General features: G+C 40.2%; 1 protein-coding gene and 1 pseudogene across 11 annotated transcripts in view; both read left to right on the top strand.

Moving 5' to 3' along the window:
- The window catches only part of CRYZL2P-SEC16B (CRYZL2P-SEC16B readthrough), a 109189-nt gene that overhangs the window by 9342 nt on the left and 85699 nt on the right, over nucleotides 1-14148 (top strand). The window contains exons 4-6 of one of the 3 annotated variants that reach the window (NR_151492.2): nucleotides 2380-2480; nucleotides 4146-4231; nucleotides 5967-6195. The gene's annotated coding sequence lies outside the window, so the exon portion shown is untranslated. The remainder of the gene's footprint in view (nucleotides 1-2379; nucleotides 2481-4145; nucleotides 4232-5966; nucleotides 6196-14148) is intronic. The other 2 variants (NM_001356505.2, NM_001356506.2) reach the window with 2 other exon arrangements.
- The window catches only part of CRYZL2P (crystallin zeta like 2, pseudogene), a 31872-nt pseudogene that overhangs the window by 9373 nt on the left and 8351 nt on the right, over nucleotides 1-14148 (top strand). For 4 of the 8 annotated variants that reach the window (NR_151483.1, NR_151486.1, NR_151489.1 and 1 more), the window contains 2 exons: nucleotides 2380-2480; nucleotides 5967-6195. The product of NR_151483.1 is annotated as a crystallin zeta like 2, pseudogene, transcript variant 2 (transcript). Of the gene's footprint in view, nucleotides 1-2379; nucleotides 2481-4145; nucleotides 4232-5966; nucleotides 6196-14148 lie in introns of all 8 variants that reach the window. The other 4 variants (NR_151488.1, NR_151487.1, NR_037167.1 and 1 more) reach the window with 3 other exon arrangements.

Raw genomic sequence — 14148 nt, 5'->3', positions numbered from 1 at the left:
ACAGGTCATTTTGATTACACCTCGAATCCACAGCATTTCATATTGCTTCCAAAGTGTCTCTGCGGCAATTATCTTACCCTTGATCCTCACAAAGCCCCTGGGATGTGGGCAGTGTAAGTGTTTATTATCCCTATTTCACAGATCAAGAAAGCGAGGCACCAAGAGAGAAAATGGTTCACTGCAGGTCCCATGGAGACCTAGTGAGAATCTCGGGATTCAATTCAGGTGCCTGACCCTAGAGCAGTGTCTGCCCACTGTGGCACTGTGTGCTAATAGCCCTCACTGAACTGCAACTATTTCAGGGTTCCACCAAGGAATATTTGAGGGAAGCATTCAGTTTCAAATAGTTATGAGTAAGTTTGGAATCTTTTAAGGGCACCAGTGTTCTTGGAGTATTTCATTGCAAATTCACTTTGAGACTAAAGTGCTTGGGCTGGTGGGTGCTGCCCCATGGTGAGGCATGTCTAGGCAATGCTTGAGTGTTTGCAGCTTTTCTGGAGACTTCCAAACCCCAGACTTCCCCACAGTATGGCTCACCACCATCTATGCCATCTGTGTCGGGCCTTAGGTATGGCTTTCTCCTAGGGTGATGGAGTGGAAAAGCATGGGCTTTGGAGTAACGCAGCAGTGGGCTTGAGTAATTGTTCTAACACCTGCAACCTGGATGACCCTGGTTGATTGCTTTACCTCTCTGAGTCTATGTCTCTGTCTGGAAACTGGAAGTAATTATATCTCCTCAATAATGTTCTTATGAGGTTCAAATAGAAAAAATGATTGCATGGTGTAACAATGGCTTCAGTTTGTCTAACACTTTGTTTTCCAAGTGCTTTGTATACAGTGTCCCATTTAATTCTTTTTCCTTTATTTCTCTTGAGCTTGTGCCTGGAGATAATTTTTTTTTTTTTTTTTTAAACGGAGTCTTGCTCTGTCGCCCAGGCTGGAGTGCAGTGGTAAGATCTCGGCTCGCTGCAACCTCTGACTCCCAGGTTCAAGCAATTAGTCTGCCTCAGCCTTCCGAGTAGCTGGGACTACAGACACACACCACCATGCCCAGCTAATTTTTGTATTTTTAGTAGAGATGGGGTTTCCCGATATTGGCCAGGCTGGTCTTGAACTCCTGACCTTGTGATCTGCCCACCTTGGCCACCCAAAGTGCTGGGATTACAGGCGTGAGCCACCGCGCCCAGCCCGTGAATTTTTTTTTTTTTTTTTGAGACGAAGTCTCGCTCTGTTGCCCAGGCTGGAGTGCAGTGGCACACCTTGGCTCACTGCAGCCTCCACTTCCCAGGTTCAAGTGATTCTCCTGCTTCAGCCTCCCGAGTAGCTGGGACTACAGGTGTGTGCCACCATGCCCAGCTAATTTTTGTATTTTTAGTGGAGATGGGGGATTCACCATATTGGCCAGGCTGGTCTTGAATTCCCGACCTTGTGATCTGCCCACCTGGGCCTCCCAAAGTGCTGGGATTACAGGCGTGAGCCACCGCGCCTGGCCTCTGATAATTTTTTAAATGTCTTACTTTACTGATGAGGTAACTGAAACCTTGAGAAGCTGGCAGGCAGTATGGAGGTTAAATGCATGGACTCTGGAGACGAATTACGTGGGTTTGGACCCCAGTGCTGTCTCCCATTTGCTGTGCGACCTTCCTTGGGCAACAAGTTACTTAACTTCTTTTGCCTCAGTTTCTTCATCTATAAAACAAGGATAATAATACTGTATATTTCATTGGGCTATTACAATTAAATGAGTTATTCATATACATAAAATGTTTAGAATGTTAACTGGCAAATAGTAACAAAATGTTGTTTTGTTACTAAGTATTTTGCCTAGGTCAACACAGCTAGTGAGTGGCAAAGCCAGAAGTTGGACTAAGGTCTCTCTAACCTCAAGATCTTTCTATTGAATCATGTTTTACCCTCTAGGAAGTCTTTCCTGATCCTCTAGATTTAGACTGGGTACCTCTTGTTTACATTTCTGGACCCCTGTTTATTTCCCCCATCATTCTGCTGTATCTTGCTTTCTTGGCTCTAAAGGATCCATCTTGTATCCTTACTGCTTGATTCATAGTAGATGCTCAATAAATGGTGGTTTTCATTTGAATTTGAGAAGACTTTCTGAATGTCTCTTGAACCACCTTCTAGCTATCCTTGTTAGGGTTCCACGATTCCTAGAAATGTGGACCTCATGACTAGTAGGGCATGGAGGGGCCAGTGGGATGGTCTGTGTGTTGGGCCTGATGTGTGGGCTCAAGGCCAGTGCCAGGGCAGCAAGGTCACAATGATTTCCTTGAGTAGCACCCTTGGGCTGGAGATGGGTTAGGTGGGGTGCCCCTTTCTTGGGACATGTTCTGGATAATCAGATATCTTGTGTTCTTGATGCAGGTAATATAGCTGCTGCTGGAAGTGACGAGAAGTGCAAGCTGGCGATGCAGAGGGGTGCGCAGTCCAGCGTGAACTACAGTCAGGGCAGCCTGAAGGATGCAGTAAGGAAGCTGGTGGGCGAGGGCGGGGTGAATGTGGCCATCGACATGGTGGGAGGAGACATCTGCCTGGAGGCTCTCCGCAGGTGCATGGGGTGGTCTGTCTAGAGTGGGCTGGAGCTGAAACCTTTCCTGATCTCTGCCTTCCTTCTGGCCTTGCTTCTCTCTCATCTTTGCTTTTCATTTCTTCTGTAGGCATCAGCATCAACGAGAACAGCAAGTGGGTGGGTGAAAAGGAATAGAAGCAGAGAAAATCAGGAAATGCTTATATATAGCAAAAACAAAATACCCATCTGGAAAATATCCAAAAAATGACTGCAGACTCTCTTAGTTGGCAATGCCAAATGCTTTAGAAATTATTCATGTGTTAAATTCAGTTATGCCAGTTCTCACTAACTACTTTATATCCATGTCTGTGGGGAATTCTTGCAGAGGGCATTGTTCAGCTATTAGAATTACTGGGGTGGCAGTTCCCCTTTTCCCAGTTCATTGTGGACCAAACTACAGGCTCTTCTGATCTTACTGCTTTCTGAAGCAGCCAGCAGCGTAGATAATTCCTTGACTTGTTTTATTTAAAAAATATCACTGGAGATTTAGTAGGAGTGTTGTATCACACCAATTCTCATTCTGTTTTCAACCAAGGATTCTGGAGTACTCTGATAGCATTGGTTTCATTTCTCATGTCGTCCTGGCAAGCATAATTTTGTAGTTTATCTCAGTTTCAGGTAGAAGCTGCAGAAGCAGAGAGCAGCCTACCCACAAAAGGGGTCCAGTTGGTTCTCTAGCCCCTGAGCTGAGTGGCAGGCAGTCTATATGTTTGTTCATCTCTGCACTGTGCCTGGTGCTGTGCTTAGAGGAGAAGCAAAGGAAGGAGCGTGTAGTCCAAGTGGAAAGCCAGGATAGACAGCTGGTAAAACTCGCCCATCTCTTGCCTTCCTTCTTGCCTTCTGGATAATTGTGTTTTTGCAATAGCTTCTCATTTCCCTTCTAAAGAAGAAAAGCAAAAAGCAAAAGCCAAACAAATATACACATATTTTATATCAAAGATGTTTGCAAAAGTTGTTTCTGTAACTCATTGCTTAGCAATGGTACCGTAGGGGAATTTTCATACTGGGCTACAGAATACTTATGCATTTTTGTAGTTTATTTAAAATTCTCTAAAGAGGCAATGTGTTAAAGGAATCCTAAAGTAAGTCTTTGTATAAAGCAAATGGTCCTTCCCTCATTAAAGTGTATTTCTTCTTATTCCTGCTTCCTAAGTTCATAATCTTCAAACTGAGTTGTTTCAGTACAACCTATGGAATGACATTGCCCAATTTTCTTCCACAAAGTGGTTGAGGTAGTTAAATAGATAGTCTTGATTCTTCATTTTTTTCTGAGATAGGGTCTCACTCTGTCACACAGGCTGGAGCACAGTGGTGCAATCATGGCTCCATGGCTCACTACGGCCTTGACCTCCTGGGCTCAAGCAGTCCTCCTCCCTCAGCCTCCTGAGTAGCTGGGTGTATTAGTCTGTTCTTACACTGCTAATAAAGACATACCTGAGAATGGGTAATTTATAAAGGAAAAAGGTTTAATTGACTCGCTGTTCAGCATGGCTGGGGAGACCTCAGGAAACTCACAATCATGGTGGAAAGGGAAGCAAACACGTCCTTCTTCACATGGCAGCAGCAAGGAGAAGTGCTGGAGAAAGCCCCTTATAAAACCATCAGATCTTTTGAGAACCTACTCACTATCACGAGAACAGCATGAAGGTAACTGCCCCCTTGATTAAATTACCTCCCACTGGGTCCCTCCCACGACATGTGAGGATTATGGGAACTACAATTCAATATGAGATTTGGATGGGGACACAGCAAAACCATATCACTGGGACTACAGGCATGTGCCACAATGCCTGGCTAATTTTTTTTTTTTTTTTTTTTTGAGATGGAGTCTCTCTCTGCCACCCAGGCTTAAGTGCAGTGGCACTATCTCTGCTCACTGCAAGCTCCGCCTCCCGAGTTCACGCCATTCTCCTGCCTCAGCCTCCCAAGTAGCTGGGACTATAGGCGCCCACCACCACGCCCGACTAATTTTTTTGTAATTTTAGTAGAGATGGGGTTTCATCGTGTTCTGGCTAATATTTTTATTTTTTGTAGAGACAAGGTCTCACTATGTTGCCCAGGCTGGTCTTGGCCTCCTGGGCTCACATGATCCTCTTGCCTTGGCCTCCAAAGGTGCTTGGATTATAGGTTTAAGCCACTGCACCTGGCTCAACAGCCTGGATTTTAAGTGGGCCCCCTTATAAAATTGTCTAGTTCCTTTGGTTCCCTAATACTTTGCTTATGGTATATATATATATATATGTGTATATATATATATATGTGTGTGTGTGTGTGTGTGTATATATATATATATTTTTTTTTTTTTTACTGAGAAGCCCAAAGTAATAAATGATGGTTCACTCCTGCCAGTCTGCAAGGTCAAGAGGACTGCCCAGCTGTGGATTTAATACATGTTGGTTTTTTTAATGTTGGTAAAATATACTATAACCTAATATTTATCATTTTAATGATTTGTAAGTGTGCAATTCACTGGCATTAAATACAGTCATAATGTTGCATAATCATCCCCAACAAAAACTCTGTGCTTGTTAAATATTAACTGCCTCTTTCCCCTTCCCCAACCCCTGGTAACCTCTGTCCTACTTTCTGTCTCTGTGAATGAATGTACATTGCTCTTTTTTTCATTTTACTTTTTTTATTGTGGTAAAAAACAGATAACATAAAGTTTACCATCTTAACCATTTTCAAGTGTACAGTTCAGTAGTGTTAATTATATTCACATTGTTATGTGACAGATCTCAAGAACTTTTTCATCTTGTAAACCTGAAACTCTATAGCCATTAAACAGCGACTCTCCTTTCCTCCCTTTCCCTAGCCCTTGGTAACCACCATTCACTTTCTGTTTCTACGAATTTGACTACTTTAGATATCTCATATAAGTGGAATCGTACAGTATTTGCCTTTTTGTGTTTGGCTTATTTCACTTAGCATAATGTTCTCAAGGATCATCCATGTTATTGCATGTGACAGGATTTCCTTCCTTTTTAAGGCAGAATAGTATTTCATTATATGTATATATCACATTTTGTTTATCATTTTTCTGTTGATGGACACTTGGACTGCTTCTACCTCTTGGCTATTGTGAATAGTGCTGCTGTGAATATGGCTGTGCAAATATCTCTTTGAGACCTTGCTTTCAATTCTTTTAGATATATATCAGAAGTGGAATTGCTGAACCTATTTTTCATTTTTTGAGGAACCTTCATACTGTTTTCTATAGTAGTTGCACTGTTTTATAATCCCACCAACAGTGCACAGGTGCTTAAACTTCTTCACATCCTCGCCATTTGTCACTTGTTATTTTACGAGACTAGCCTTCCTAATGGGTGTGAATGTATGTTGCTTTTTTATCATTTCTTTTTCTTCTTCTCTTTCTCCTCAGCCTGGCATGGGAGGGCAGGATTGTGGTGGTGGGATTTGCTGGAGGAAACATTGCTTCTGAACCAGCCAACCTTCTGCTCCTGAAGAATATCTCTGCTATGGGCCTGTACTGTGGTCAATACAAAGATATGAACTTTCCCGTCTTCTCCAAGAGCCTATCTTCAGTGCTTCAGTACTGCCAGCAAGGGTGCATCCAGCTATATGTCAGAATGGTTTTCAAGCTGGACGAGGTGAGACACACTTAAGGGATGTGATGCAGATGAGGCCAGGAAATAACTTGTGCAAGCTACTGGGCAGTTTATCTCTGGATGCTATCAGTCCTCTTTTTATAAAAGGAAAAGATGAAAATGCAACACAGAATAGTGGGATTGCACAGGTGTCAGGGTCACAGGATTTTTCCCAGCCTTCTGGGTTGTATGGCTGTAAACTCAGGCCTAATGTGAATCTGAATCCGTGAAGGCCATGTGAAGCCGAAATTTGAGGGCTCTGTGTGCATCACTGCTCCCTCAAATAGAGGAAAGTTACGGTTCTTTAGAAAATGATTTACACGTGTTGATATGAACTTTGAACTCTACAACATACAAGCCTAAGAAGAAAGTGCTTGGCATGACCTTTGGTTTTAAAATATAGATGCTTTAAAGCACAACCAGATGATCTAAGTTGGGGTTCTGTGAGGAGAACACTAAATAATGCCTGGCATCATAAGACTATAATTCATCCATTAGTCACTGTAGTTAATTTTGTTGGCTATTCACTACCTTTTTTCATTCCCCCCAGTCTCATTAATGTGGCTTAAACTTCCTCTGAAGTGTAATTGTGAGCATGCATATGCAATATAGTTGTAAATGTGAATCTGTTAGGCATTCACTGTGAAATCTTTATTTTTTTTTGACTTAATTTATTTTAATGTTCAAAAAACTGTCTTGGTAACTCTTGTCAGCCATAGATGGAGGTGATATTTTGTTCAAATGCAGATTAGTGGAGCCCAAGCTGTCGATGCCAGACTTCATTGCTAACCAGCCTTCCATGGTTGTTTCTTTCTGTGAGGAGACCCGTTCTTTTCAAACATGGCTTATTTTCTTTATCTTTTTAATATGTAAGTCAGGAAGATGGTGTTCAATGGTGAAGAGAACCTGACTGGCCAGTAGAAAACTGGTTGGATGCCAGTCACAGCTCATCCCTCCAGCCATGCTATTTTGTGGAAATCCCCTTGCTTTTCTGACTTCAGTTTCTGCCTCTCTAAATAAGCAGGAGGACGTGATGAGTGGTTTTTAGACTGTGCTGCAGGAGCCACAGCAGGGATGTGGGGCTAGGGCAGCAGCCATAGATGTGAGCTGCCTGGGCTGTGGGACCCCATCGCTGCTAGGGTTTGAGTAGCTGCACATTTTAACTACTTTTTCAGACTTTTAAGCAGAGGTCTTGTGGCTTTAAAACTTGAAAACCCCAAGTTCTGGGTCCCCTTCCATCCTGTGGCGTTTATCACGTGACTTCTAACCTGAGGCTATACCTGTTGATAAGGGATAAGGACAAGTAGGCATACAGAAGTGGAAACAAGTGTCTGTTTGAACTGTCTCTTCTCTCTCAAGGTCTTTTAGGTGCCGTTTAGGCAGGAACGAAAGCCAGAGGTGGATTATTGTTTTAATTATCCCCGTTGAAGTTCTCTCTCCTCTGTAAACATGAATTGACTATGTAATTACTAACCACCTGTCAGCTTCCATTTGCCCTTCTCCTTTCCAGTGAGGTCTCTGCATGTGGGATGTATAGAGTTGTTCTCACTCTGCTGCCCTTGGTGTAATCGGGTGGCTCTTTAGGCCATGCTCCCTCACACATTTCAAGCATCTCATTCATATACCATCCATTTACCATGTCTTCTTTTTCTGTTTCTTTCAATATGCAAACCATTTAGAGGATTCATAATAGGAATGACAGCTCATATACATTAGGTGCTTACTGTGGGTCAAGAACTATGCTAAACACTTTACATGCATTATCTCCTTTAACCTTCACAACAACCCTTTGAGGTATGCCAACTTTATTATATTTTACGGATGAAAGAATCAGGACTTATAGAGGCTAGGAGCCTTGTCCAGTTATAGGTAGGAAGTAAATCTAGTCTTGCTCCATCTGATGCCAGAATCTGGGCTGCTTATGACTGTCAAACTCTCTCCTCAAACAAGCCAAGAAGTCACTTCTGAGAAGCCTTATTCTATAGGATGCAGTTTATCTATTTATCATAGAATTATCTGTGTGAAAGAGATTATTTTAACTATGTTATAGTTATACTCTTATATTTTCCTGAGCAGTACCAGAATTTATATATTTTGTTCTTTTGTTCTTTGTTCTTTTGAAAATGAAGATGGTTAAATGAATATATAATTAATTTCACTGAACTTTAAAGCCTGGGTAAGAAAAATATTAAATGAGTAAATCAGTAAACGTGTAAATTAGTTAACATACTGGAAAAAGTTATTTATCAGGACCTGTTTGGGTTTGGAAAATGACCACTGTACTGTATATAGAGAAAATACAAACTAAAATGCACTAGTATTTCTGACTGGCTTGTATTTTCTCCTGAATATGTGTACTTGCAGATTTAACCTTGATAGTTGATACTAATATGACCACAAACTTTGCACCATAGATTTTTGAGTAGGCACAGGGTGTGAACTTCCATAGGACTCTGCTTGTCCTTTATTTACTTGTGATTACTTCTTTAATGCCTGTCTTTCCCATAGAGCATAAACTCTGTGCAAGCAGGGCCATGTGCTGTCTGCACCTCTATATCTCCAGCTTCTGGCAGGTGCTCACATACCTGTTGAATGACTGTGTGTGTGTGGGGCTCTGGGCTCAGACCAACAGCGCTCAGACGCTGGCTGTGGGCAAATTACACATATTTGTGCCTTAGTTTTCTCATCTGTAGCAGGGGCAGTAATATACCCTGCATCCTAGGGTGATTATGAGGATTAAATAACATGATACATGTAAAAGCACATAATGAATATAGTAACTTTTTAAAAGCATAATATATTTCCATGATAAAATATGGAGTTGAGCTTTTTCAGTTCCCCTGAACTGTAACACTTTTGCTTTGATGTCTCAGAGGGAAGGATTATAAGACAGTCTTTAGATTTTGAATTCTACCTAGAATTTATTATTTTCTGAAGGATTATATCTATGCTGTGGTGGGTGGATCATGAATTGGTCCTGTAATCTGTCCAGAGGAGGGCATTATTTTGATGTGCAGTGTCTGTTTTCTGTAGGGAGCTGTCTCTGAATGTGTCAGCTTGACACGGTATTTAACCTCACAGATCTGAGCTTATTTATTATTTAAAGGTCAAGTGAGATCATCATATGAACAGATGGATAGAAATTGTTAATGGATAGAAATTGCTTGAAATTTTCTTAGTGTATCTGTGGCATATTCTTAAAAATGAAACTACTCTTTTAGTTTAGAAGGTCTATTAATTATAGCCCATTGTTCTAGACCCAGTTTGAGGAATTCCTCATATCTGCTGGCCCCACCTGCCCCAGGCCTTGGCCACTTGTCATGCTTTTCCAGTGATGCCTCCTATAGCTGATCCTACAATGCATACAGCCCAGACCACTATCTCTAGGATGCATCTCCTAACATCATTGATTGCCTTGTGCTTTCCTGGGTTGGGAGCTGATCCTAGAGGCAAGGCCACTATTGTGTTCATCATACAGGAGCTTCTGCAGCGCTGGTACAGAGGTTTGATCCAAATGGACCTGTTGAAGCTTCTGGCTTCCCCAGAAACTGTATGCAGGGTCTGGGCAATGCAGTTCAGAAGTATGGATATTTTACTCCATTGGGCAAGCTTTTCATTGGGAGGAATGAAAGGAGATAAATTGTTTGCCTTTTCTCCTCCCTGTTGACTGTTTCATATGGCTGCTGCTTTATTTATTTATTTATTTAAGATGGAGTTTCATTCTTGTTGCTCAGGCTGGAGTGCAGTGGCATGTTCTCGGTCACTGCAACCTCTGCCTCCCAGGTTCAAGTGATTCTCCTGCCTCAGCCTCCCGAGTAGCTGGGAGTATAGGCGCCTGCCACCACTCATGGCTAATTTTGTATTTTTAGTAGAGATGGGGTTTCACTATGTTGGTCAGGCTGGTCTCAAACTCCTGATCTCAGGTGATCCACCCGCCTCAGCCTCCCAAAGTGCTGGGACTATAGGTGTGAGCCACTCTGCCCAGCCTTTTTTATTTATTTATTTATTTTTTTGCAACCATTGCCTCTATCCAATGGCTTCTCTATAGAGGTCCCGTGTGAACAACAGCCAACTACATGTCCCCCTGAAACTACAACCAATTCAAAATCAGTAACACAGTGCCCTGTAGTTTCTCTCCTTCTCTCCTTGGTTTGTTTTACTTTTTCTGTTACCCTTGCCTCCCTGGGATTGCAACCCTCTGATGCATTAGGGCATAACTTTTGATTAGGTTCTATTTTCTAAGGGCTTATGCTGATGCTCAACTTCAAAAATTTATTTATTTTTATGTTCAGTACCACATTGTCTGACTTTTTTTAAAAAAAGTTAAGTTTGTTGAGATATAATTTACGTATAATAAAATTCACCCTTTTTAGGTGTACAGTTCTCTGAGTTTTGACAAACCTATACAGCACGTAGCTACCCCACCAAGATATAAGAACATTTCCGTCACCCCCAAAAGTTCCCTTTTGTGCCTTGTAATCAGTCTCCTTTTCCTGCTCCACAGCTACTGGTAGTCACTGACCTGTTTTCTTCCCATTTAATTTTTCCTTTTCCAGAGTGTCATGTAAATGAAATCATTCAGTATGTAGCCTTTTGGGTCTGATTTCTTTCTCTTTGCGTAATGCTTCTGAGGTGCACCATGTTGCTACATGTGTCGGTAGTCCATTCCTTTTTATTGCTGAGTAGTATTTCATTGTATGGATGTACCACAGTTTTTTTCATTCACCAGTATGCAGACATTTGATTATTTTCAGTTTTTTGGTGATTGTGAATGTATCTTCTATAAACATTCATGACAGGTATAGACATATGGTTTTATATATTTTAGGACTGAGATTTCTGGGTTATATGCTAGATGTATGTTTAACTTAAGACAATTTACACAGATGTGTGATTGGTTTTACTTTTCTCCTAATTCTCCATTTTTGCCTAGATAACATCATGAAGCAAGAATGATATAAGGCAAGGATTGAATTGTAGCTGCTACCGAATGATAACTTTAAAATAAATCCGTGCAGAATTCTAAAAAGAGCAGATGTTGATGCCACTTCAAAAAGAGGCAACTTCGATTATATCAGCAGCTGTTTCTCTATGCCTCAGTTATTCAGAAACAATTCTGTTTCGGTTTCTATGTCCTATGATTTTGAAGAGAAGGCTGTTGTTACTACATTCCTATCAAAGCCCGTATCACACAGGTTTTCCATTTCTTTGGCTGTATTCTGGATTAGAAACTGGTGCTCTGGCATACAAATGTGCCCAAAGTTGAGCTCTCTGTTTCAACACTTTGGGAGTTTGCTTGCACTGGTTTGCTACTACATGTTTAGCTTTTAATAAATTGGCAAACTATTTTCCAAAGTGCTTGTACCATTTTGCATTCCCTGTGTGTGAGAGTTCCAGTTGCTCTGCATCTGCCAAAACTTAGTCTTGTCAGTTGTTTCCTTGAATGTTAGCCATTTCATTAGGTTTGTAGTGGTATCTAAGATTTAGATAAACTTAGATCAATGATGTGATGAATATAATTCACCTATGACAACATCCTGCTAACCAAAAGTTTTTACCTTTTAGAAACTATCCCAATTCTGTAGGCCAGGGTTGAACCTCCTTAAAGCGTGAGTCTTACAGGGCCTGTAAAACAATAGCACAATGAAAAAAACAGTATCTAGGTAACAACTGATACGATGAATAGAACAGTACCTCACATCTCAATATTAACATTGAATGTAAATGGCCTAAATGCTCTACTTAAAAGATACAGAATGGCAGAATGAATAAAGAACCACCAACCAAATATTTGCTATCTTCAAGAGACTCACCTAACACAAAAGGATTCGTGTAAATTCAAGGTAAAGGGGTGGAAAAAGATGTTCCACACAAATAGAAACCAAAAGAGAGCAGGAGTAGCTGTTCTTACAGGCAAAACAGACTTTAAAGCAGCAACAGTTAAAAAAAAATACAAAGAAGGACATTATGTAATGATAAAAGGATCAGTCCAACAATAAGATATTATAATCCTACATTTATATGAATCTAACACTGGAGCTTCCAGAGTTATAAAGCAATTACTACTAGACCTAAGAAATGACATAGTGACACAATAATAATGGGGGACTTCAATACTTCACTGACAGCACTAGACAGATCATCAAGACAGAAAGTCAATGAAGAAACAATGGACTTAAATTATACCCTAGAACAATTGGACTTAACAGATACTTACAGAAATTCTTCCCAGCACCTGTAGTATTCTATATTCTTCTCATCAGCACATGGAACATTCTCCAAGATAGACCATATGAAGACCACAAAACAAGTCTCAATAAATTTAAGAAAATCAAAATTATATCAAGTATCTTCTTAGACCACAGTGGAATAAAACTGGAAATCAACTCCAGAAAGTACCCTCAAAACTATACAATTATGTGGAAATTAAATAATCTGCTCTTGAATGATTTTTGGGTTAACAATGAAATCAAGATGGAAGTTAAAAAATTCTTTGAAATGAATGATAATAGTGACACAACTTATTAAAACCTCTGGGATACAGCAAAAGTAGCGCTATGAGGAAAGTTCATAGCATTAAATGCTTACATCAAAAAGCATGAAAGAGCACAAATTGACAACCTAATGTCACACCTCAAGGAACTAGAGAAACAAGAACAAACTAAACCAAAACCCAGAAGAAGAAAAGAAATAACAAAGATTAGAGCAGAGCCAAATGAAATTGAAACAACAACAACAACAAAATACAAAAGACAAATGAAATAAAAGCTGGTTCTTTGAAAAGATAAACAAAGTTGATAGACCATTAGTGAGATTAACCAAGGAAAGAAGAGAGAAAATCCAAATAAGCTCAATTAGAAATGAAACTGGAGATATTACAAATGATACCACATAAATACAAAAGATCATGCAAGGCTACTACCAACACCTTTACGAGTACAAACTAGAAAATCTAGAGGAAATAGATAAATTCCTAGAAACATACAACCCTCCTAGATTAAATCAGGAAGAAATAGAAACCATGAACAGACCAATAACAAGCAGAGAGATTGAATCAGTAATAAAAAAATTACCAAAAACAAAAAAAGGTCCAGGACCAGATAGATTCACAGCTGAATTCTACTAGACATTCAAAGAAGGATTGGTACCAATCCCACTGAAACCATTCCAAAAGATAGAGAAAGAGGTAATGCTCCCTAAGTCATTCTGTGAAACCAGTATCGCCCTAATTCGCAAACCAGGAAAGGACATAAGAAAAAAGAAAACTACAGACCAATTTCCCTGATGAATATAGATGCAAAAATCCTTAACAAAATACTAGATAACCAAATCCAACAGCCCATCAGAAAGATTATGCATCATGAACAAGTGGGTTTCATCCCAGGGATGCAGGGATGGTTTAACATATGCAAGTCAATAAATATGGTACATCACATAAAAAAAATTAAAAAAAAACTATATGATCATTTCAATAGGTACAGAGAAAGCATTTGATAAAATCCAGCATCCTTGCATGATAAAAACCCTCAATAAAATAGGCATAGAAGGGACTTACCTCAAAGTAATAAAAGCTGTATATGACAAACCCACTGCCAACATCATAATGAATGGGGAAAAGTTGAAAGTATTCCCCTTGAGAACTGGGACAAGACAAGGATGCTCACTTTCACCACTTCTATTTAACATAGTACTGGAAGTCCTAGCCAGAGCAATCAGGCAAAAGAAAGAAATAAAGGGTATCCAAATTGGAAAAGAGGAAGTCAAACTGTCACCATTTGCTGATGATATGATTGTATACCTAGAAGACCCTAAGACTCATCCAAAAAGCTCCCAGATCTGAGAAATGAATTCAGTAAAGTCTCAGGATACAAAATCATTATACACAAATCAGTAGCACTACTGTACACCAAAGCGACTAAGCTGAGAATCAAATCAAGAACTCAATCCTTTTTATAA

Source organism: Homo sapiens, chromosome 1, assembly GCF_000001405.40.
Source record: "Homo sapiens chromosome 1, GRCh38.p14 Primary Assembly".
NCBI classification, from domain to species: domain Eukaryota; kingdom Metazoa; phylum Chordata; class Mammalia; order Primates; family Hominidae; genus Homo; species Homo sapiens.
Note: the sequence above shows the minus strand (reverse complement) of the source record. Positions and strands in the feature narration are given on the sequence as shown.